This window comes from Homo sapiens, chromosome 1, assembly GCF_000001405.40.
Source record: "Homo sapiens chromosome 1, GRCh38.p14 Primary Assembly".
NCBI classification, from domain to species: Eukaryota; Metazoa; Chordata; class Mammalia; order Primates; family Hominidae; genus Homo; species Homo sapiens.
In genome coordinates, this window is record NC_000001.11 from 209722860 (window position 1) to 209748543 (window position 25684).

Genomic DNA, 25684 nt, shown 5'->3' on the forward strand with positions numbered 1-25684 from the left:
AATCCATCTTTGAATTGGTAATCATTTCAAAATCTCAGCAAGGCAGTTAGGGATGGAGGGTAGAGAGGGGATGAACGAAAGCATGTAGGCCTCCTTTTGACCTCTTCTACTCAGCTAATAAGCCTCAGTGCATGGCTTCTTTGCCAGTTCTCTGGCTCTTGCTGTTTCTACAGTGGCTGAGTCCCCGCATTTCTGGGACAGAGCTAATTACAAACATTCTGTCCCACCTATCATCATGTCTGCCTTCATCCTTCTAAGACTCTGTGTCCCATATTTTGCTTCAGAAAATATAGTCACCATAGCTCTGTTTCTTTGTGTTCTAAAACTTCCCAGAAAGCTAGCTGCCATCTTTCTCTTCTGCTATCATGGACCCACCCTCCCACATAAGCCAAAACTTAACCTTGGGTAGAAACACTCAGGCTTCCGACCCCCTCAATTCCACGACTGCTTCATGCATATTAGAACAGTATATTTATTTACTTACTAATTTTGTTGAGCACATACACTGGCACATTTTTTAAAAAAAACTGGCAGTCTAACAAGTGGATCTCATAGGGTGCAATCAGAAAACAAGTTGATTCTTTCCTCCCCCTGCCTGTTCAAACCTGTTCTGTGCGCAGGTCCTCCCTGAGCCTGGACATGAGCTAGGGCAGATGGCAACACTTTTCTGGTTACTCCAGGTTAATAAAAAATCCTATGGCTGCCTCTAGTCCACAGAACAGTCTCATTTCCAAATAGGTAAGATGTCTAGTCATGTGCAATTTAACTTTTACCAAAGCTTCTCCCCTTGCTAAGCTGGAACCTGCTGTTGGTAGGAAATGTGTTTGTTCTTTCCTCTCTTTCCCCACCTCCTCCCCACTCCCTGACCCCCTCTAGCCTGTCTTGGGTTAAAGGAAAAGGGACAATGCAGGGAAGAGGATAAGGAGTAGGAAAGGTCTTATTTGGCTGGCACCCAGCTAATATATTGGTCTTCTCTTGACATTCAGAACTCATGCTCTCTGACCATTTGGTGGATGATCAAATCTGACTCTTGCATTGCATGCTTTTGTGGATTCTTTGGAGGCCCTTTCTGGAATACTAGTTATTCTTCTTGTGGTTTGGGCAGCAGTTGCTTATGTTATTTCCTTTGGGCCCTGGGAATACAGTGGGAATACAAGAGAATACACTCACCACTTCAGGCTGTCCTTTTGGGCAGAATTGGAAATGGCTCCAGAAGAGAAGGGATGAGTCCTGGGACAAGGCCCACAGGGTGGTGAGCAGAGTGTGGGCTGGATTTCAGGTCCACCTACAAGGGAGAGTTTCCATAGGTGTGACACAATTTGGGCTATGCAATGGCTTTGCCCATAGCCATGGCCTCTCAGATTGAGTCAGACCCCAGTCCTCCTTGTTGCTCATCAAACTCTTTGGGACGAGCTCTCTGAGGTCTCTTTGAAGTCACTCTCACAAAGACTGACGTGAGGAAAATCCCCCACCCCTTCTTTTTGGAAGATCAATGAGACATTGCTAATTTCTTCTCCCTAACTCCTATCTTCTCTGGCCTCCCAGTGTCAGCCCCTTTATTTCCTTGGGATGTTTGTTTGTGTTTCCATGTTCCCTGTAAGTGCACAGGTGGTCTGGAACCTCCCTTCAGAACGTGGAAGCCTTTGCCAATTACTGTGATGTTCTCAGCCTTTGAACCTCAGCTGAAATGAAAGCAGAAAAAGTCAAATTTTAACATCCTGTTACATGTTGTTTACTCCACTTTGACCAGGCCTTTTGACTCATGGAATCTTTTTTAAAAAATAAAAATCTAGATTTTTAGAGGGATTTTGCCCTTTTCAGCTTTCTGAAACTTCTAAATATGGTTTACATAGAGCAGAACATAGGGGTTTCCTCACACAAGCTAATTAGCATTATGTGGAAAAATGTTTAAGAACACACTTGTGAATAGAAATAGGCTTTAATTAAATGCACCAATGTTGTTTGAGAATGGAAGATTTTTCTCTCTTCTCTTCATTTTTTTTCTGCTTTTTAATTTTTAATATATGTTCCAGCTTTCCTTTAGTGGGCCTAGACTGGTTCACAATCCTTATCTGCAATTCCAAAATCCAAAAAGCTATGGGAAAAAAATGGAAACAATAATAAAACTCCAAAAACTAAGGATTTTCTTTTCATAATTAAATCTACCTAATGAATTTAACCTGAACTGAAGTGAGGCTACTTAAATCCTTTCTTTATCTCAGTATGAACTTTCCAATATTTTAGTGCAGAAATAATACATGCTGTCTTACAGGCTGCCTCCTCCAACCCTACTGGAGATGCGATGTAATACCTATTAATGCCCATACCACCATCAAAAATCCAAAAACAAATTAAAATTCCATAATACATCTGGCTCTAAGAGTTTTGGATAAGTGTTTTTAAGTCTGTACTTTTGTAAAAGAAAAAATACAATAAACTTTGCTATTATTTTCCTTGTCTGACTAGCTTCTCACTGCCTATCTAACTCCTGCCTCTAATTTTTGTACAAGCCATTCTTCCACCTCCCTGGTCCTTCATGTACTTCCTTTCATCAAGCAGAATTTACAACCTACCTCCTCCAGGTGGAGTTTCCTGATAGTCCAATATCATTCTTTACCTAAACATCCAGTTTGGATTTGAAATACATGTTTTCCTTAGTCATGCCAGTTTGGGTTTTAAAGAGACTTAATTCATAATTCAGTGACTGCTCACCCAGCTGTCATTGTGGGACTTTAGCCTCTTCCAAAGACCTCTCCCCATTTCTTTCAGGAGTTCCTAGATGATGTTCAACAAGCTTAGGCCACCATGCCTTTCCTACCCCACACTCATTCTCAAAACCCACTATGAATATCATTTATGGATAAAGCCACTCTTTCCTACTGAACAGTTTAGCACAGTCCTCTACTCCATAAACAGACTAGAAGAATGGGGGGCAGAGCTCAAATCTGCAGGTTAATGGTCCTTATTTGCACATGGTCCTTACGTGCATTGAATTTGAGTACTGGCTTAAACATTTACAGATCAATAGCAGGTCACAAAATCTGAGAGATGTCAACAACAGCTGTAGCCATATGTTATTATGTTACAGTGCACCTCATGCATAGTCTTCACAATAAAGGCTAATCGTTTTTCAGTAGTCTTTGTCCAACCTTATATGCTTGCATAATAGTTCATTTTTTTCACCAATTAAAAGCAGGCGGATCACGAGGTCAAGAGATCAAGACCATCCTGGCCAACACAGTAAAGCCCCATCTCTACTAAAAACACAAAAATTAGCCAGGCATAGTGGCACATGCCTGTAGTCCCAGCTACTCAGGAGGCTGAGGCAGGAGAATCACTTGAACCCGGGAGGCGTAGGTTGCAGTGAGCCAAGATCGCGCCACTGCACTCCAACCTGGCAACAGAATGAGACTCCGTAAAAAAAAAAAAAAAAAAAAAAAAAAAACCAAAAATATTTTTTAGGCTTGGCACAGTGGCTCATGCCTATAATCCCAGTATTTTGGGAGGCCAAGGCAGGAGGATCACTTGATGCCAGGGATTTTAGGCCAGCCTGTGCAACATAGTAAGACGTTGTCTCTACAAAAAATTAAAAATAAATTAGCCAAGCACAGTGGCATGCATCTGTAATCCCAGCAACTCAGGAGGCTGGGGTGGGAGGATGAGCTATGATCTCAACACTGTGCTTTAGCACTTCAGCCTGCGTGGGTGACAGAGTGAGACCCTGTTTCTAACAACAACAAAAAAAAAACTTTTTTAAACCATACAAGCATCCATGTCATGAATTTTTCAGGTGGTCTTCTGACATGTCTGGCTCCTTCACTACTTCTCTCCTTTCTTCTGCTTTCACTTTCTCTCTTCTCTTACCTCCTTCTCCTACAAAACCATTTAGGATTCTTCTATGTACCTTGAGCATAACCTGAGGCATAACTAAGGATAGGCAATGTGATGCATGAGCTCCATAAGTGGTATAAAAATAACTGCTCTAGGAATTCAGACTATGGCTTCGCAGGATATCTTGCTTCTGTATCTCTGTTGCCACCTAGACAAACACATTAAATGTCATAGTCAATATCTTTATTGTCATCTAGGGGTGTGTAGTGGGCTGAATGGTGGTCCTCCCCCAAAAGATATATCCACCTAGATCCTGTGAACGTGACCTTAAGTGGACACATAGAAAGTCCTTGAGGATGTAACTAAGATCTCAAGATGAAATCATTCCCGATTATCTGAGAGGCCCTGAATCCAATGACAAGTAACCTTATATGAAGAGTAAAAGACACAGACAGAAGAGAAGAAAGTGATGTGAAGATGGAGGCAGAGACTGGAGTTGCCAGCACAACTCAGCTCCAACTGCCAGCAGACATTAGAAGCTAGAAGAGAAAAAAGAAGGATTCCCTGCTATAGGTTTTGGGGGGAGCATGGCTGTGCTGATAACTTGGTTTTGGACTTCTGGATTCCAGTTCTGTAAGAGAACACATTTCTGTAGTCTTACGCTACCAAGTTTGTGGTAATTTGTTATGGCAGCCCAGGGAAATGAATACAAAGGGACTAGGAGTGACTAGCCCTGTTTATTTATGGGTATCCTCATCTGTCAGCTTAGAAGTGAAAATAATACTGCTATTCATAAATTTTGCCTATTTTGGACTCGACTATCAAAAGAGAGAGAATCCTCACCAATGCAGAAAGAACTGGATTTAACACATGGCTCCTGGAAAACACTCATATAAAGAACAGTGCCTTCTGTAGAGGAAGTACCACCTAGTGTTCAAGAGTGTGGGCCACTAGAGTCAAATTTGAATCCTGGTTTGAATCCTGCTTCTCCCACTCATTAACCTTGAAACTTTGAGCATTTATCCTTTAGATTCTACACTGGCACATAAGAGCTAAATAAATGTTAGTTCCTATTTAGCTCAATTTCAGAGGTTATTGTGTTTGCTCCATATGCTTGCTTATTTTTGCAGAATACTTGTCTCCGCTTACTTATCCCTCTCCATGGCTGAAATGGCTACCCCAGTCCCAACCTTACATGACCTTTTCATTCAAAATCCAACAGCAGCAATCAGAATCTTTTGGTCACTTATTTCAATTTATTGAAAGAGAGACCACGATGTGTGTTCAAGCCAGTGTGCATATTCGTGATAACTGGGCCAACCTTCCATGGCTAGAAAGATAAAGGCTCTTTGAAGGGGATGAGGGCAGGAAGTCCATGGCAAGCATTTCTAGTACACTGTAGCTTTTCACATTTTATATATTCCAACCTATTTATGTCTTCCTTCATAGTATATGCCTCCAATTTCATGCTTTAAAAAGTATCTCTAACTTTGAGATTAGAAATTCACCAATAGCTTATTTTAGTTTTTTACTTTCCACATATACTCTGTGATCTAATTTGAATTTGTTTATTAGAATGGCACTTTTTTCTCCAAGTAACTAGCTATTTGTCCCAACATGATTTTTTGAATAGCTCATACTTTTCTCACCAATTTGAATACTAATACTGCTAACAATAATAGCATTTTCTGAATGCTTTCTATGTGCCAGAGTTTGTGCTAAGTATATTACATGGGTTACTTCAGCTTGGTTATATTATTATCCACATATTACAGCTAAGAATTGGCATACTTGGGATTCACACCTGGGTCATCTGACTCTAGAGCTCATACTTTTAATTATTATGCTATTCTGATAAGTAATGTGGATCTATTTTTGTCTCAAACAATAAGGAAAATTATTGACATAACTGGAAGTCCAGATGTAGGGCAGGCTTCACAGTTGACTTGGCTGAAGCTCAGTGTCCCCGTGATTCTCTTGGCTCTGCTCTCTTCCATGTGTGGCTTCATCCTCAGGCTGACAATGAGATAGCTGCAGCAATTCCAGCCCCCATATCAATGCACAAAAAATGTGTTGGAAGAAAAAGAGGATTGCTACTCTCAGAAACTCTTCCAGAAAAACAATAACTTTTTGAGACACTCCAACAAAATTTTCTTCAAATCTCATTGGTCCAAAATGAGCCACATGGCCATTCCTGTATCAATCATGAGTAAGAAGAATGGGATAAAATAGATTACATAAGCTCATACCTGCAGTTAGGAATGATGTCAGCTTTCTTTTGGCACATGGGCTGCATAGAAGTGAGGATAACTATCAATAAGAAGTAAGTCCAGCTCTCAGATACAGAAAACCTAAAATAATAGTGGATTCAATAAGTTAGCATTTAGGCCAGGCATAGTGGCTCATGCCTGTAATCCCAATACTTTGGGAGGCCGAGGCAGGTGGATCACTTGAGATCAGGAGTTCAAGACCAGCCTGGCCAACATGGTGAAACCCTGTTTCTACTAAAAATACAAAAATTAGCCAGGTTTGGTAGCTCAAACCTGTAATCCCAGCTACTCGGGAGGTTGAGGCAGAAGAATCACTAGAACTTGGGAGGCAAAAGTTGCAGTGAGCCGAGATCATGCCATTGCACTCCAGCCTGGGCAACAGAGCAAGACTCTGCCTCGGAAAACACACACACACACACACACACACACACACAAGTAAGTTAAAATTTAAATCAGGTCTGAAGGTAGGCAGTATAGGGCCAGTATAGTATGGCAGCTCCATGGTCACCCAGGTTCCTTCCTTCTATCTAAACTATCTAAATGTTTTGCCATCCTCAACACGTGGCTTCTACCTCATGGTCCAAGATAGGTCTGGAGCCATAGCCATTACATCCACCTTCAGACACCAAGAAGGACAAAGGATTGGGAAGGAGAGACTGGCTTCTCCTTTTAAGGATGTGTCCCAACATTGAAACCAAAACTAAAGATACAACAAAAAAGAGAAAACCACAGGCCAATATCCCTGATGAACACAGATGCAAAAATCCTCAACAAAATACTAGCAAACAGAGCTCAACAACATTTTAAAGGATCATTCATTATGATCAAGTAGGATTCATCTTCAAGATGCAAGGATGGTTCAACATAAGCAAATCAATAAATGTGATACATCACATCAACAGAATCAAAGGCAAAAATATATAATCATTTCAGTAGATGATGAAAAAGCATTTGGTAAAATGCAATATCCCTTCATAATAAAAACCCTCAACAAATTGGGTATAGAAGGGATATACCTCAACATCATAAAGGCCATACATGACAAACCTATAGCTAATATCTTACTGAACTGGACAAAATTGAAAGCCTTTCCACCAAGATTTGGACCAAGACAATGATGCCAACTTCCACCACTTTTATTCAACGTAGTACTGGAAGTTCTAGCCAGAGCAATTAGACAAGAGAAAGAAATAAAGGGTATCCCAGTTGAAAAGAAAGAAGTCAAAAACCTCACTGCAACTTAACAAAGAGAGATTCCTTCTTCTCAGGTAATAGTTTAGGGCTGCTTTTGGTGGACTTACATGACGTCTTCAAGAATCCAAGGTCATTCCACATTTCTGTTCCACTATAATTAACATTAGCTTTTCCTAAAGTTCACAAACTGACTGCTACAATTCTAGCCATCATATCTGAGGTTCCTTAGGAGGAAAGGAGAAGGGCAAAATGTAAAAGTTGCATGCCACCTGAATCCATCTAATTTATTGGAAATCAATATCTTTCCTAGAAACCTCATCTGTTAGATTTCTCATTGACCAGAACTATTACGTTGCATGGCCTATTACGGCAAGAAAATCTCAGGGAGATGAGCATTTTAAAATGATTACGTTGCTGTCCTGAACAAAATCAGACTCTATTATTAAAGAAGGAGGAATGGATATTGGGTAGATAACACTATTTACTATCATTTTCCATCTAGAATATTTTTTGCTATATGACATAAAACAAAGAGTTAATTTTTTCCAATAAGTTAACCACCTTTCTCAGCATCTTTATTAAATAACCCATCCTTTCTTCATTGGTTTGACATACAACATATTATATTTGAAACATATAGAAATTCCAATTCCGATAACTGCAAGAGTGGCACCCGAAAGACCATCCTTCCCCAGATTACAACTATAAGCTTTTGACAAAATATCGACGACAACCATTGAAAGCACTGGAGATTAACCAAGAGCAGATAGAAAATGGAGGGTTATTGACACTTGGAAGAAGGAAATGACAGTAGGCGAGTTTCTCAATTGTATAGCTTTAGGCCTAAGGGCAACCCCAATCAGTGCCATATCTGGGATAGAAACCTGCCATCTTGCCAACATGAATAGCTAGAAGGAAGAGGTTGGGGTTACCGTAATAGCTGGAATGCAAAGGGGTTATGCTGGAAAGGAGAGTCACAGTGGAGAAACACTGAATCCTATACATAAGCTCTGTCCAAATCTCTAGTTGTTCTCTGAACAATGCATGGGCAATGCAGAAACCAAGCAGCCAAGTTAAGATTCAAATAATTGAACAGAGATTGCAGCTGATACTTATTACAAGAGACAGAGTTTCACCCAAGTTAACTGGCCACTTAAAAAAAAAAATCAACACTCTTTGGAGGAATGTGACAGAATCCAGGTACCCTGCAATGTATCATTCACGATATCCAGGATACAATACAAAATTAACACCCATACAAGAATAGTAAATATGACCCATACTTAGGAGGAAAGGAAATCAATAAAGATCAATCTTAAAATTACCCAAATTCTGGAATTAGCAGACAATGGATTTTAAAGTAGTTGCTATAACAATGCTCGGTAAAGACTATAGGGTCTCAGGTCACTTCTACTCTCCCCTCCTAAAAAGGGTATTAATAATAGTTTATCCTATTAGGCATATGTCCACATATCCTCCAAACAACTTGAGTGAGAATTAACCAGTCTGGTGAACATTTTTTTTAAAAAGCGGCTTTGGGTAGAAAAGCAAAGACAGGATTCTGTTTTTTGTTTTTTTGAGATGGAGTCTCTCTCTGTCACCCAAGCTGCAGTGCGGTGGCGCGATCTCAGCTCACTGCAACTTCCGCCTCCCAAATTCAAGCGATTCACCTGCCTCAGCCTCCCGAGTAGCTAGGACTACAGGCATGTGCCCAGCTAATGTTTGTATTTTTAGTAGAGATGGGGTTTCATCATGTTAGTCAGGCTGGTCTCGAACTCCTGACTTCAAGTGATCTGCCCACCTCGGCCTCCCAAAGTGCTGAGATTATAGGTGTGAGCCACCACACCTGGCCAGGACAGGCAGTTTTTTAATACCTTTGTAAGGAAAGTAAAACATACCCTTTCCATTGCCAACAGGTCACCAAGTTGGCAGAGATAACTAGTCAAACTCTTGGATCCCCAGCACTTGGTTCAGAGATGCAAGAGTTAGCAGCTGTGGAATTACATGGCTCTTTTGTAGCCCAGCTTGTTTATCACCCTTACTAAAAGCTTAAACAGTCCCTCTTCAATGAAGGCTGTCCTGCAGCCCAATCCCACCCTATGCCTTCGATACCTTAATGTTTTCAAAATTCAACACAGCAGTATAACTTCCATGGGGAATATAGAGAAACTAAGACTCAAAGGGGTAAAAGGACACCATAGGAGTTACAAAGCCTACTACAGCTCTGTAAGAAGGTGAAATGGGCAGCCTTATTAACCCATTTCTTTAATCTGTCATTTAGGGAAAGTGGCTTATCCAATGGTTGCTGCCTATTCTGCAAGCAAGTTTGCTTTGGATGGGTTCTTCTCCTCCATCAGAAAGGAATATTCAGTGTCCAGGGTCAATGTATCAATCACTCTCTGTGTTCTTGGCCTCATAGACACAGGTAAGGTCAATACTTTGTGTTTTTTTTTAATTATTATACTTTAAGTTCTAGGGTACATGTGCAGAACATGCAGGTTTGTTACATATGTATGCATGTGCCATGTTGGTGTGCTGCACCCATTAACTCGTCACTTACATTAGGTATATCTCCTAATGCTATCCCTCCCCCTTCCCCCCACCCAACAGGCCCAGTGTGTGATGTCCCCCTTCCTGTGTCCAAGTGTTCTCATTGTTCAATTCCCACCTATGAGTGAGAACATGCGATGTTTGGTTTTTTAATACTCTGAATAATGACCTGCAGATGAACTGTCTGCCTTACCATTGTGGATAAACAAGGGTGCTGAACTCCCTGACCTCATGTGTAATGCACTAAAAACAAACCAGTGCAGAAAGCACTAGCTCTCTCATTTAAAGGCATTTCTGTCACTAGTGGAGGCTCTGGCTACTCTTTGACTCTCCTTTCCATTTTGATTACCAAGGTGGCTGAGTCTCACCACATTCATCACTTAACCCTTTGCTGAACACCTTATGTCCTCATGGACACTCAATGGCCATTACGTTTCTATATGAGACTTATCAAAATACAAGTTTGTGTTTCTTAAAAGCAGCACCAGTAATAAGACACACTGGTATCATGAACTCTTTGATGTGATGTTCTGAGAAGAACACAACATCATTTTGGTGGTGTTCTTGCCAAAATACATGACCCCACTCCAATCATAAGAGAACAATGAACAAAACCAAATCAAGGAACATTTTATAAAACATTTGGTCAGTATTCTTCAAAAGTGTCAAGGCCATCAGAGACAAGGAAAGGCTGAAGAACTGTCACAGATTGGAAGAAAAATGGGAAGAAATTACTACTAAGTGGAATCCTGGATAAGATCCAGGAACATAAAAAGAACATTAGTGAAAAAATAAGGTCTGTAGTTTAGTTAATATATTGTATCAATTCTATTATTATACCTGTCCTAAATCATTGCACAATGGTTATATATGGTGTTGCAACCAGGGGGAGCAGGTGTGGAATATAAGGGGGTACGGCCTACAATTTTTACAACTTTTCTGTTAAGTCCAAATACAAGTTTATCTAAAACATGTGGCAGATATTAAAAGAAAATGCTCTTTGAAGAGTAATTGAGCAACAGTTAGAGAAATAGAGAGAGAGACCGAGACCCAGGGGGAAACAAGAAAGGAATGGAGAGAGAGAGAGAAGTTGTGCAAGATGGACATGAAAACTTGGAAGGGGAGAGAAGTGAAAGTGGTGACAAGGGAGCAAAAGCCTGTATTCTTGTGTATCTCTTCCTTTTACAAGACAGTAAGTCATTATCATACAGCACTCTGGTTTTTCCCACTGGCACTTCCCATTAGCTACTGAGTCATTATGAGACTTCTATCCTCATTCTGCTCCCCCATATTACTTCTCCGCCTCCAACCAAAATACCCAAGAGAGAAGCATGATTCAGATCTCCCAAGTAATCACCTCTAACTGCTCCCACCAATCTCCATCCAGGAAGGCAAGGCCCCTATTAACACTAAGGCCTCTCTTTGCCCAACAGACTCTAACATACCCAGTCTCTCCATGTATTCCCTATAGTGCCTGTGAGGCTTGCAGAGCAAACACTGCCAAAAGCCCCTGACAGCTAAGTGGTTGATGTCTCCAGGCCTTCCATCATGTAGACTGTCCTAGTCAGATAACCCTACTCTTCCCTTGTCATTCTATAGAAACAGCCATGAAGGCAGTTTCTGGGATAGTCCATATGCAAGCAGCTCCAAAGGAGGAATGTGCCCTGGAGATCATCAAAGGGGGAGCTCTGCGCCAAGAAGAAGTGTATTATGACAGCTCACTCTGGACCACTCTTCTGATCAGAAATCCATGCAGGAAGATCCTGGAATTTCTCTACTCAACGAGCTATAATATGGACAGATTCATAAACAAGTAGGAACTCCCTGAGGGCTGGGCATGCTGAGGGATTTTGGGACTGTTCTGTCTCATGTTTATCTGAGCTCTTATCTATGAAGACATCTTCCCAGAGTGTCCCCAGAGACATGCAAGTCATGGGTCACACCTGACAAATGGAAGGAGTTCCTCTAACATTTGCAAAATGGAAATGTAATAATAATGAATGTCATGCACCGCTGCAGCCAGCAGTTGTAAAATTGTTAGTAAACATAGGTATAATTACCAGATAGTTATATTAAATTTATATCTTATATATAATAATATGTGATGATTAATACAATATTAATTATAATAAAGGTCACATAAACTTTATAAATTCATAACTGGTAGCTATAACTTGAGCTTATTCAGGATGGTTTCTTTAAAACCATAAACTGTACAAATGAAATTTTTCAATATTTGTTTCTTATTTTGTGGTCTGAACTCTTTATCTCTTCCTGAGTGGAAGAAATCACCCTAATCTTTGTTTGGTGGGGAATATTGTGTCTTTACCTTTTCTGTGTATTTCTGATATTCTTCATATTATTGCATATTGCTCCTCTGGGAAAGAAGACACCTAGGCATAAGGAACTAGGGCAAACCCAGGAAAATGGAGGTCCCAGAAACTTGAGCCACAGACCCAATGCCCATTTACTGCTCTCAGAGGACATCAAGCATCTGTACTTTACATGTGAACACTAAACTCTGCATTGGAAGTTTGGAGAGGGGGAGTTGGAGTTCAAATCCTGCCACTCACTCATTTAGACATTTACTCATTCAACAAATATTTAGTAAGCACTTATTAGGCATCACCTAACTATGATTAAATGGGAAACAAAACATCAGCATGATGAACAACTCAGCAAAGCCCTATATTGATCAGGGCCCAAGAAGTAAGAGATGACACCCTCAAATTGGGTAATTTTAGTAGCATTTAATAAAAAAAGGGGCAAGGCACAGGGAAATCACAAAAGATAGTGATATCTCAGGGTTAGTTGCAGCTGTTTCCATCGTAAGGCCCACAGGGACAAGAGAAGAGACCTGTTACCAAAACCTCAAGATGTGAAGACCTGTATGGAGAGCACCACATGGCAGGAGCTGTAACATTTAGTTAAGAGATGCAGCCAACCAGCCAGGCGCTGTGGCTCACGCCTGTAATCCTAGCACTTTGGGAAGCTGAGGTGGGTGGATCACGAGGTCAAGAGATTCAGACCATCCTGACCAACATGGGGGAACCCCGTCTCTACTAAAAATGCAAAAATTAGCTAGGTGTGGTGGTGCACACCTGTAGTCCCAGCTACTTGGGAAGCTGAGGCAGGATAATTGCTTGAACCTGGGAGGCAGAGGTTGCAGTGAGCTGAGACTGTGCCACTGCACTCCAGCCTGGCGCCAGAGCGAGACTCCATTTCAAAAAAAAAGAGATGCAGCTAGCCTACCAAGGATTGTGAAGGAGGTGTCTAGGGGAAAAAACACCCTAGCCTCACCTCACGCTCTTCCCTCCCTCTGATCTCTGGCCAGCATTTCACATTAGCTGAACAGAGGGGCAAGGGAGCAGATAGGTATAGACCATACAGGTCAGCTTCCCCATGTACAGAGCAGATGGAAAAGGGTAGAGAGTGTTCTGGAGAAATGAATGGAGTATATCCATCAGGAACCCCAACACTCCCAAACATACAGCTTCCATGGTAAGTAATGCTGGGACATGAGACATGTGCCTAAAAGTGCAGGGGAAATTTTCTTTTCCCACCTCTGAATCTAAATGGCTGGGCAGCAGAACATATTGGAATCTATTGAGCCTGCCAGCCACATGGACAAAGGGCTGGATTTGAGCCTGCTAATGTGGCTGCACTTTTCTTAGAGGTCCTTCCAAGGCTATGCTCAGTGCAAGGGAGCAGGAGAGACCTGGCTGCATCCATGTGCAAAAACAAGACAAAACAAAAAGGGCCAAAAAATGTAGTCTGGTTTCTGACATGAAATGCACCCACACTTGCAACGTGGCTTAATATATGTCCTGGTTTCTGATCAATCAGATTAACACCCTTCAGTCTCTTGTAGAAATGAGACTCCTTCTTCACAGTGAGATGAAGTGAAGTAATTCCTTTACTCAAGGGTAGAGATAATATTAAAGCTGAGTTAGAATTTGCTTGGGGAGAGGTTAAACCTCTTTCTAAATGAGACTTTCTTCAGAATCCAAAGGGGAAGATCTCAAAAAGTAGGTCTGAGAACTGAAACCATCTACACCCACATAGCTTATTGTCTTCATTAACATGATTTTAACATTCCATTCTCTTTATCAGCATGACTTTACTATTCCAAGAAACTCTTGTCCGAGAAGATAAATGTTGCAAGCCCATTTAAAAGTGCTGAATTTTTCAACAGATAGCATCAAATGACTGCTACTCTTTAAGACTGCTTGGAACCCTTAGTTCCAAACCCCAGCTTCATTGTGTTCACCAGTCTCCAGCTATGGCATCACAATCCTTATCCAATTCAAATAAAGTCACCATGCTGAAGTCTCGCCTTAACCTAGACTTCAAAGCCCCATAAAGACCCTGACTTTACCCTCTCCACTCTCAGAGTCTACTAAGACTCCATCAAGACTCCAGCTTTGCCTTATCAACAGGTTGTTTTGGTGGTCTTTTTTAGGGAGCCAACATTCAACAAGTCCTTCCTAAGAGGTCGTCTCAGGGGTCCTCATCCAGTTCCTAACCTGGCTCCCCTGTCCCTTAAATACCTGTCTCATCTCTCAGGACTGGCAGGGGTTCCAGCAGCTGGAGCCAAGTTCCAATTTCAGTGGCACCAGCAGTACAATGACCCTTGTCTTTGGACTAGTTCCACTTAAAAGAACCTAGCCTTCCTAGCTCACTTTATCACGAGCTCAAAAATATACATCCAAGGACGTCCATTTTCACATCCTTACGTGAAATCCAGATGTGCATCACTCACTTCTCGCCCATATTAACACAAAAATTCAGCTTCTCTTTGTAGGTTCCAAAAGTAATTATATTCTCACTGAAAGTATTAGTAAGCAAGGTAGTGTTTGCAATATGCAAGGTAGCATATCTCAGAGGGGAGAAGGAAGACTAAGTTTACATTCATTCAGTGTGCATCATTTTTTTTGTTTGTTTGTTTTGTTTTTTGTTGTTTGTTTGTTTGTTTGTTTTTTGAGACAGGGTCTTGCTCTGTCACCCAAGCTGGAGTGCAGTGGCATGATCATGGCTTCACTGCAGCCTTGAACTCCTGGGCTCAAGCAATCCTCTGGCCTTAGCCTCCCAAGGAGCTAGGACTACAGGCATGGGCCATCGTGACTGGGCTGATTTTTTAAAAATTATTTTTAGTAGAGATGAGATCTTGTTATGTTGCCCAGGTTGGTCTCAAACTCCTGAGCTCAAATAGTCTTCCCATTTCAGCCTCCCAAAGTGCTGAGATTACAGGCATGAGCCACCGTGCCCAGCCCGGTGTGCATCATTTAACTCAAAAGATCCCCCTTGGCCATGTTGCCCTCAAAGTGCTTCCTCTAAGCTTCCCCTCTTAATCTGACTTTGACCCCCCAGAGAATCCAGCCTCTAGCCTCCTTCTTCTCCCTCATAAATTTATTATGCACAGTTGATTCTGACTCTAGTTTGAGGCTATCCAGCAACATCTTTTTTAACAAAAATAGCCTCTTCCCACAAAGAAATTCCTTCACCAAATATTACATTTGTAGTAGCCAAGACAATTGAAAACAACCTTAATGTCTACCTATAGGGAAATGTTTAAATTATAGGAATTAAATTCAATATTATGAAATCACTGTGTCATGGTAACAAGGGATCAAGTCAATTTATATGTACATCCATGGAAGGAATTCCAAGGCATACTGTTAAGTGTATAAAACAAGTTGCTTAAAAAGATGCATAATATAATTCCATTTATGTTAATAAGTTATACACACACACACACACTCATGGAATGAGGATGTGTGGATTCCATGTGAATGGAATGGGGAAGCTAACTAGCATAAGGCACTATTGTAAGACCTGAGAAAATTAGGAACAGCTCTCTTCCAAGGAATACACCTGTGATTCTCAAACTGGCAGTGTTGCAAGTTGAACCGTGTCCCCAAAAAAGACATATTAAGTCTCTAATCCCTAAAACCTCAGAACATGATTTTATGTGGAAATAGATCATTCCAGATATAATTACTTAGGTGAAGACAAGGTTGCACTGGATTCAGGTGAGCAACATGACTAGCATCATTTTAAGAAGAAGGCCACATAAAGGCAGAGACACACAGGGACAACACCTTGTGATGACAGAGGCAGAGATGCAAGTGATGCAGTTGCAGGCCAAAGGACACCAAGGCTTGAAAACCCCTATCAGGAAGCAAGAAGAGGCAAGGAAGCCCTCTCCCCTACAGGCTGCAGTAGAAGTGTGGCCCTGTCAACAACTTGATTTCAGTATTCTAGCCCCCAGGACTGTGGATCAATAAATTTCTATTGTTTCAAGCCACTGCGTTTGTGGTACTTTCTTTGGCAGCCTTTGGAACCTAATAGAGGAAGTACTTTCTTTGGCAGCCCTAGGAACCTAATCCCTGTATTAGGGATCCCTAATACAGGGATATGTACCCCTTGCCCTGCTTCTCTTGGTGGCCCAAGATTATGATGTTATCATAATGTTATGATTATAATATTACCATAATCTTGGGCCACAAAGAGAAGCAAGGCAAGGGATACACATTCCTTGACCCAGAATTTTACTTCCAGGAATCCTGACATACAAATGTGATCTAATTAAAACAGAATCAAGTCATACCTCCATCAAAACCCATAATTATCCCATTCATTCTGAGTAAAGGCCAAAGTCCTTACAGAGACCTAAAAATCTTACATGATCTCGGTCCTCATTGGCTCTGAGACGGCATCTCCTTCTCTTCTCCCCTCATTGCTCAAGCACTCCAAGAGGCCTCGCTTGGCCTCCTATCTATTCCAGAGCATGCAAAATATGTTTCTACTTCTCTATACCACATGGCCAGCTGCCTTACTTCCTTCAGATTCATTCAAAAAGTTGCCTTTTCCTAGGCTAAGGACATGAATAGACAATTCTCAAAAGAAGATATACAAATGGCCAACAAACATGTGAATAAAATGCTCAACATCAGCCAGGCATGGTGGCTCATGCCTGTAATCCCAGCACTTCGGGAGGCTGAGTTGGGTAGATCACCTGAGGTCAGGAGTTCAAGACCAGCCTGGCCAACACGGTGAAACCCCATCTCTACCAAAAATACAAGAATTAGCCAGGCATGGTGGCAGCATCTGTAATCCCAGCTACTCAGTGGGCTGAGGCAGGAGAATCACTTGAACCTGGGGGGTGGAGGTTGCAGTGAGCCGAGATCACACCACTGCACTCCAGCCTGGGCAAGAGAATGAGACTCTGTCTCAAAAAAAAGAAAAAGAAAAAGAAAAAATCCTCAACATATCTAATGATCAGGGAAATGCAAATCAAAATCACAATGTGATACCACCTTACTCCTGAAGAAATAATCAAAAAAATCAAAAAATAATAGACATTGGCATGGATGCGGTGAAGAGGGAACACTTCTACACTGCTGGTGGGAATGTAGGCTAGTGCAATCACTATGGAAAACAGTGCGGAGATTCCTTAAAGAACTAAAAGTAGAACTACCATTTGATCCAGCAATTCCACTACTAGGTGTCTACCCAGAGGAAAATAAGTCGTTATACAGAAATGATATCTGCACATGCATGTTTATAGCAACACAACTCACAATTGCAGGAATGTGGAACCAACCCAAATGCCCATCAGTCAACGAGTGGATAAAGAAACTGTGATATATATATACACACACACACACACACACACACACACACACAATGGAATACTACTCATCCTTCAAAAGGAATGAATTAATGGCATTCACAGCAACTTGGATGAGATTGGAGACTATTATTCTAAGGGAAGTAACTCAGGAATGGAAAACCAAACATCGTATGTTCTCTCCTAAGTGGGAGGTAACCTATGAGGATACAAAGGCATTAGAATGACACAACAGACTTTGGGGGCTCAGGGGAATAGGGTGGGAAGGGGGTGAAGGATAAAATACTACAAACTGGGTTCAGTGTATACTGCTCAGGTGATGGGTGCACCAAAATCTCACAAATCACCACTAAAGAACTGACTCATGAAACCAAACACCACCTGTTCCCCAATAACCTATGGAAATTAAAAAAAAAATTTTTAGGTTGCCTTTTCAATGAAGCATTCCTTAGCCACCCTAAATAAAATTTCAAACCCACCCTGAAATGTTCTTTTTGTTTTGTTTTTTTGAGACAGGGTCTCTCTCTGTCACCCAGGCTGGAGTGCCAAGGCATGACACAGTTCACTCTAACCTCTACCTCCCGAGCTCAAGCAATCCTCCCACCTCAGCCTCCAGAGAGATGGGACCACAGGCATGTGCCACCATGCCTGGCTAATTTTTGTATTTTTTGTAGAGACGGGGTTTTGCCATGTTGCCCAGATTGTTCTCAAACTCGTAAACTCAAGATATCTACCCGCCTTGGCCTCCCAAAGAGCCGGGATTACAAGGATGAGCCACCATGCCAGGCCTGCCCTGAAATTTTATGTCTGCCTTCCCTGCTTGTTTTTTCTCCTTAGTACTTATTATTATCTATATTGTTGGTCATTTATCTTGTTTATTATCTGTCCTTGTCCCAGTTACTATGGTGACATAACAAATCATCCCAAAACTCAGTGGCTTAAAACATAAAATGACATTCGCTTCGCTTGCAAATCTGTAGTCTGAGCAGGCTCAGCAGGGATAGTTAATTTCTGCTCCACTCAGCAAGATTGGGTGGCTCAAAGGTCAGGAACTAGAATCACCTAAAAGCGTGATTGTGCCTGCCCTGGGAAGACATGAACAGCTGGACTCTGAAACAGGTAGGGCACTTTAGGTGCCTGGCTCCTTGGGCACCTGGAGCTAAGCAGGGAGGGCACAGCAGGAGTCTCTCTCATCTTTGTGTGATCTCTCCACATGGTCACTTGGAATGGCAGCTTTAGGGTTGCCAGACTGCTTGGAGGACTTGAGATCTCCAAAGGCAAGTGTCCCAAGAGAAAGAGCCAGGCAGAAGCTATATTGCCTTTCAGGACTGACCATACACTTTTGGTCGAAGCACTTCTGAAGATGCACCTCATTTCAAGGAAAAGGAATACAGACCCCACCTGTTGATGGAGGACTGTCATTGTCACATTGTAAGAAGAGCATGTGGGATGGATGGGCTAAAAATTGCTGCAGCCATCTTTAGAAAGTACCATCTGCCACATTCCCCCTGCTAGAATGTTGGTTTCATGAGGACAGGAGTTTTTTCTGTTTAGTTCAGTGTGCCCCCAGCACCTAGAGGAGCACCTGGCACATACGTGTGGGCCAGAGAAGATCATGAGGTATCTAGATGCAAGTGATAAACTGTTGTACCAGACCCAGAATCAGGAGCTTCTGAGGGTCACATAAACACAGGAAGAAGGCAGGTTTGCAGGAGCCAAGGCCCTGCAGATTGTCAAGAGGACAGGAGTGGGAGGGCTGATTAGGAGGTGAGGAAATGAGTACAGAGACAGAAACATGGTCAGGTGACAAATTGATAGCCAAAGTCAAGTTAAAATTAGTTTTTGCCTTTAGTCTGAACATGTAAGAGTTCTTCTTAGGCCCAAAGATATTGTAAGGTTTCAGCCCGTGTTCAGGATAAAGCAGCCTTTCTCTGATTCTGCTAATTTTGGGCTTATTCACCCCTCCATAGCATTAGGGGAGCAGAAGATATGAAAACTAATAGCCAGTATCTATGAGTTAATATTAAACGAAAACTTTGGTCTTTTCCAGGGCTGTGCTGACAAATGTTTAACAACTAACTCTCCAGAAAAAGAAGAAACAAAGCCTTAATTCGCTGATTTGTAGCATTTGCCTGTATCTATGATGTAAAGACTCTTACTGTGGCCAACTTCGAGTCACCAACAGGACATCACGGCATGTGGATTGGGAAGAGATGGACACCCCCGGCTCTCTCAAGCCTGTGTACTGGCTCCAGCACATCATCATGACTTTCACTTTCCACATTCCTGACAGAATTCGTTATTCTTAAGGAGACAGTTCACTCTCTCCTCCTCCAGGACTTGAAATCAAACTCTGATAACATGAGTCAAATTGGCGTTTTCTGTTTTTTGTTGTTTTTTTTTTCTGTCAGCAAGCGTGGCCAAGCTGACTAGCAGTGACAAGATATCTACATTCTATAATACAATTGCCAGGGAAGGAGAGGCAGCAAGGGCTCCTGAAGACATGGGATGCTCACACTCTTCCATTCTAAGGGCATCAGCATCCTGCATGAAGTCAACAGCCTTGACCAAGGTGTCAGTGAGACCTGCAGTCATGACTTTCAAGTTTGTTAGCACTGCATTCCCCTGGGAGTAACAGAAAATCCAACTGTCTGACAGTGGCTGGCTGAATCAGGCAGAGACTTATTTTCCTCTCCTAACAAAAAGTCTGGGTGGAGCTGACTAGGGCCTTCGGGGACCTGGGCTCCTTCTGTCTTTCCACTCAGCTCTCCATCCTCCTCCTTGTTGCTGGATGTTCACAAGACAGTGGCCCCACCCTCAGCATCACTCAGTGTTTCTGGCAAGAGAAGGAGGAAGGTGAAGGGTACAGGATGCACACCAGCTGACTCTGACCCCTGATAATGAGCACACTGGGAGGCCCCATCCAAAGACTTCAGCTTACATCTCACGGCCCACAGCCATGGCATGTGGCCACTGTTCCCTTCAGGGGAGGCTGAGAAATGGAGCTTTCAACTGGGCACATTGCCACGCCAAACAAAACTGTGGTTCTATTCAGCAACCAATAGTGTTTGTCATAAGTATAAATCACCAGAGAAGCAGGGAGATACAGTCAGAGCAGAAGGACACAGGTCTGAAGACATCAGCCTCCTAAGCATGCTGACAGCATCCACTCACACTGACCATTTGCAAGGTACTACTTGGACACCACAGTTCTACCTATGCTGGAGGAAATCCTAGGCCTCCCACATCTGCAAATTTCCCTTTGACAAATTGTGATTCCCTCTCTTCAGTAAAGAATGTCATGAAAAGGCCTAGATATCAGTAGGAGGGAGCCCTGAGGAGGTAACCTCAGAGGAGGAGCACACATTGGCACAGGGGACAGACATCCAAGTTGCTCTTCCAGACATCTCCTTCTCAAGGATAGTTAAGTCCCCCCTCACCAACAAGTCCCTCTCAAGAGCTGCTGTGCTACTATTCTCCACACTGACAGGACCTTTCTCCTTGGCTGGACCACTCTGGGCCAGCATGTGAAACCCACCCCAGAGCACAGTCCACGGCAAACTTCAAAGGATGACTGGATCAAAGACTCTCTAGAGGAGGGTTCTCCAAAGCTTTTGATCGCATACTTCATTATTAAAACATGATTACACTTGGGGAATTCAAAAGATCCCCAAGATGGAAAAAAATGATTAAGCATATGTGCTTCTAATAGATATATAGTTACTATTTATTTAATATATGCATATAATATTTGCTAGCATAAAACATAGGCAGAAATTGAAATCTTAAAAGGACAAGCTAAAAATAAATAGAGAGATGCGGCTGGCAGACGCGTAGTGTGGGCACACACAACTGTCCCATGTGAGGCTCATGGTAGATGAGGCCCTAGTAGATGGGCCATGGGCCCAGGTAGATGAGGCCTGGAGCCTGGCTGGCCGGGCCATGCTGCTGGAGGTGCAGGGCACACCCGTTCGTGGTGTTAGGGCTGGCATGCCAAGTGCACTGCGGTTGTCCACCAACTCCTTCCTGGTTTCCCTGATGTGGCCGTGGGGCTGTTCGCCTTCCCCTTTGCCATCATCATCAGCCTGGGTTCTGCACTGACTTCCACAGCCACCTCTTTCTTGCCTGCTTCATGCTTGTGCTCACACAGAGCTCCATCTTCAGCCTCCTGTCCATGGCCATCAACAGGTACCTGGCCAGCCACAGTCGGCTCAGGCATAAAAGTTTAGTCACTGGGACCCAAACAAGAGGGGTTACTGCTGTCCTCTGGGTCCTTGCCTTTGGCACTGGACTGACCCCATTCCTGGAGTGGAACAGTAAAGACAGTACCTCTAATAACTGCATGGAGCCCTGGGATGGAACCATGAATGAAAGCTGCTGCCTTGTGAAGTGTCTCTTTCAGAATGCGGTACCCATGAGTTACATGGTATATTTCAGTTTTGGGGGGTAAGTCCTGCCCCCACTGCTCGTAATGTGGCTGATCTCCATCAAGTTCTTCACAGTGACTGCAGGCAGCTTTAGTACACGGAGCTGATGGACCACTCAAGGACCACCCTCCAGTGGGAGATATACACAGCCAAGTCGCTGGCTGTGATGGTGGGGATGTTTGCTCTGTGCTCGCTACCAGTGCGCACCATGGACTGTGTCACTCTTTTTCAGCTAGCTCAGGCTAAAGATAAGCCCAAGTGGGCAAGGAAGATGACCATTCTCTTGTCACATGCAAATTTGATTGTCAATCCCATTGTCTATAACCACTGGAACAGAGAATCCTGCTATACTTTTCATAAAATTATTTACAGGTATGTTCACTGCTGGATTGAACTCAATAATGGGAATGAGCAGGTCAGGGCACAGCCTGTTCTCAGTGTGGCCTGTGAAGCAGGCTCTGGTCTCTTTGAGGAGAAGACATAAATACATAATAAACAATGGGACAGGACGTGACTGGCTGATTCTCATTGTGAAAGATAGCTATACTTCCCAAGCACATGGGCTGCCTCTTTTGAGCACTCCCCTGGAGCTACCATATATCTAGGTAATATATACCTGTTATTAGTAGGCTCCAAGGGTTGACAAATATATTTATGGTTCTATTTGGCTGCTCTTACTGTGTTGATGATGCTGACAGCTTGAATGGATTCTAAAAGCATGTTTTGTTTTGTTTTAGAGTCTGCCTCCTTTATGGTCGAAAATGACAAACTATTTTACTCTGAAACACTGTGAACTATTATAAAGCAAATATGTTTTAACTTAGAGGCAATGAAACAATAAAAGTTGCCTGTACTAAAAATGTGTATTTGTTTCTAAGAAGGCAGCCAGGAAAATTAAAAGTATAATTCTTCAATCAAGAAACTGCCACATTAATTTGAGGAAATGATAGTCTCCTAAGTTCTTAAGTAGAATTGTCAACACGTAATAATTTTAAGCTCCGTTCTTTTCCATATACAGAAAACTACCTGAGGGGAAGAAATTGGAAGGATGAGATCCGTCTTCTACCAAATTCCCCTTTCCAGAGCTAGGGAGTGAATTTCGCTTCTCTCCAGCGTTCAAGTTTGGCCAAGTTCTTGGAACCTAAAACATGAACTTTTCACTAAGCAAAATTATATAACTATGTGTACATATTAGGTGAAATAAAAATAAAACATTTTAAAAATTAAATTAAATTAATTAAATAGAAATTCCAATATTCTGCCCATCCTAGCAGTTCTCCTGCACGTCCCCTTTTGGAGGCTATGGCTCTAAAGTTGTATTAGAGAAAGAAGTCAGCATATGTTATGCTTTTAATTAGTCCTTTGGGACGTGAGTTATGGGACAAACCTTCCCTTGGCTTAGGGTGAGCTCCAGTAAGTCAGATACAGAAAGAAAAATATTGCATTATCTCACTTAAAAAAAAAAAAGAAAAACTTGAATATATAGAAACAGAGAGTAGAAAGGTGGTTGGGGTACAGGGATGATGGGGAGACAGCGGTCAAAGGGCACAAAGTTTCAGTTATGTAAAATAAATAAGCCTAGAGATCTAATGTACAATATAGGGGCAGCAAAACTCCACCTCCATTCTCAGAGAGTCCTGGCTGAGCCCAAGAATTAAACTGATATAAGACAGATTAACAGAAGACAAGCAAACAAATTTATTTAATAGAAATTTTGCATGGCACAGGAGAACCTCATAAGGAAATAAAGACCCAAAGAAGCAGTTAGAGTCAGTTACAAACTCAGTATACTGAATTTGACAAAGAATAGCACACTGTGAAATGTGATAAGGCAAGTGGCTTGGGCTAGGGTATTTAATTGGGTAGAGATGCAACTAGGAAGATAAGGGTTAGTTTAACAAGGTTTGTTTGTACAGATTTCTCTTGGCTTCAGCTTCTCATCCTTGATGATAAGACTGTTCCTTTTTTTTTCCTACTACAGGGAGGATGTCTTTCCCATGAGAATGTCATCTGCTTTTAAGAAACAGCTCAAAGGTCAGAGTGATCTTCTTGCACTTGCTGTTTTTTAAGTGCCCTTAACTCAAATAGTCAATATGCCAGAATGGCATATCTTTAACTCCTGAAACATCACGAGGACTATAGTTAATAGTATTGCATCATATACTGGAAATAACAGAGTAGATTTTACGTACTTTTACCACAATAAAAAAAAAAGGTGACTATGTGAGATGATGAATATGTTAACTTGCTTGACTGTAGCCATTATTTCACTATGTAAATGTACAGTCATGCATGGCTTAACAACGGGGATAAGACCGGAGAAATGCATCACAGTTGACTCCATCATTGTTCCAACATCATAGAGTGTATTTACACATACCTAGCTGATAGAACCTACCACACACCTAGGCTGCATGGTATACCTTCCGCTCCTCGGCTACAAACCTGTGCAACATGTTACCATACTGAATACTGCAGGCAATTGTAACACAATGGCAAATATTTGTGTATCTAAACATATCTAAGCATAGAAAATGTAGAGTAAAAATACAATATTATAATCTTATAGGACCACTATCGTATATACGGTCCATCATTGACCAAAACATCATTATGCTATGCATGACTGCATATCAAAAAATCAATTTTTAAAAGATGGAAAAGTACCAGATGAGCACTGGCTGATTTGGGGAGGCTTTCTGGGAAGGATGATAGGAAACAGCAACCCTAGGGGAGGACACATTGGTACACCGCATAACCTGGAATCAGAGGGTGGAAACTGGGGACTGGCCCAAAAGACCCTTAACAATGAGGGGCTGAGGCCCAAGGGACACAATGACAGAGCGTTCGAGCATCTCTCTGCTGAGCGACTCGCTGCCCCGGGACCGCTGGGGTGGTGTGCGTCAGGGGCTCCCTCACACCGTCCTTGAACAGTACCGTGGACCACAAAAGAGCAAGGCTGTCCTAAGGAAAGACTTTGCCTCTTCGCCGGCCTCCCTTTGGGCCGTCAGGGTGGCAGCGCCACCCCGTGGCTGAATGTGGTGGTGTACCACGCTTCACGCAATCTCCTTGCCCAGTGCGTATCAGGTTCTACCCCAGGGCGGCCACCACCTGCACACCAGCGTGCCTACCAGTGAGTCATCGCTTAGGGCCCTGAACTGACCTAGAGGCGGGGCTGGACTCCGGCGTCCGGTAACTCCGCCCGGCTGCTGGGGCCTACGTTTGGCATTGAGCCGTGGGGAACTAGACCTGTTCAATAGCGACAGCTAGTGGTCACCCTCAAAAACAAGGTGCTCTGAACCTCGCGGGGAAAGCGCTGTCAAGATATGGGAAAATCAGGACAGATGATTGGCCTTGAGTGGAAGCTGGCACATTTTCGAAGCCACTCTTGGGTAAAATGGTCTGTCGAAAACCCAAACGCTTTAAAGTGATGTACAACGACCTTGGCTGCCTCTCCAGCCACATCTCGGGCCACCTGCCTTGCTTTTGATTCCCCAAGGACAAAGAACTGCCAGTCCTCTGAAGCACCCTGATGATCCCACTGTGTGTTGGCCATGCCATCTCCTCTGCCCTGAGCGCTCTTCACTCTCCCCATTGCATGGTTAACTCCTGGGCCTCCTTTAAGGTTAGGCCCAACCATTACCTCCTCCAGGAAAACTTCCTTCCCTTCCACCCGGTCCACCTCTCAAGGCTGGGGCAAGTGAGCTCCCACCTCTATCCCATGCCTCTACAGTTTTCTGTATTTGTTTATCACTTGAGTTTATCACACTTTTTAAATT

At 42.6% G+C, this 25684-nt stretch overlaps 1 protein-coding gene, 1 long non-coding RNA gene and 1 pseudogene across 5 annotated transcripts in view, besides 1 other annotated feature; 2 read left to right on the top strand and 1 right to left on the bottom strand.

Moving 5' to 3' along the window:
- Positions 1 to 12070, top strand: part of HSD11B1 (hydroxysteroid 11-beta dehydrogenase 1) — a 48751-nt gene extending 36681 nt beyond the window's left edge. For all 3 annotated transcript variants that reach the window (NM_001206741.2, NM_181755.3, NM_005525.4), the window contains 2 exons: positions 9577 to 9720; positions 11445 to 12070. In NM_001206741.2, the coding sequence (NP_001193670.1) occupies positions 9577 to 9720; positions 11445 to 11662 (362 nt within the window). In that variant the 3' untranslated portion in view covers positions 11663 to 12070. The remainder of the gene's footprint in view (positions 1 to 9576; positions 9721 to 11444) is intronic.
- The window catches only part of HSD11B1-AS1 (HSD11B1 antisense RNA 1), an 81204-nt gene extending 61501 nt beyond the window's left edge, over positions 1 to 19703 (bottom strand). Inside the window, exon 1 of one of the 2 annotated variants that reach the window (NR_134510.1) lies at positions 19638 to 19703. This is a non-coding gene — a long non-coding RNA (HSD11B1 antisense RNA 1). Of the gene's footprint in view, positions 1 to 1170; positions 1267 to 19637 lie in introns of those variants that run through there. The other variant, NR_134509.1, reaches the window with a different exon arrangement.
- Positions 21491 to 22817, top strand: ADORA2BP1 (adenosine A2b receptor pseudogene 1; annotated as a pseudogene).
- Positions 25274 to 25363: an enhancer, noted in NCBI's record as "active region_2470". NCBI's record gives its function as "activates an Ori minimal core promoter by ATAC-STARR-seq in GM12878 lymphoblastoid cells {active_cell/tissue: GM12878}" and the evidence as "EXISTENCE:reporter gene assay evidence [ECO:0000049][PMID:35858748]".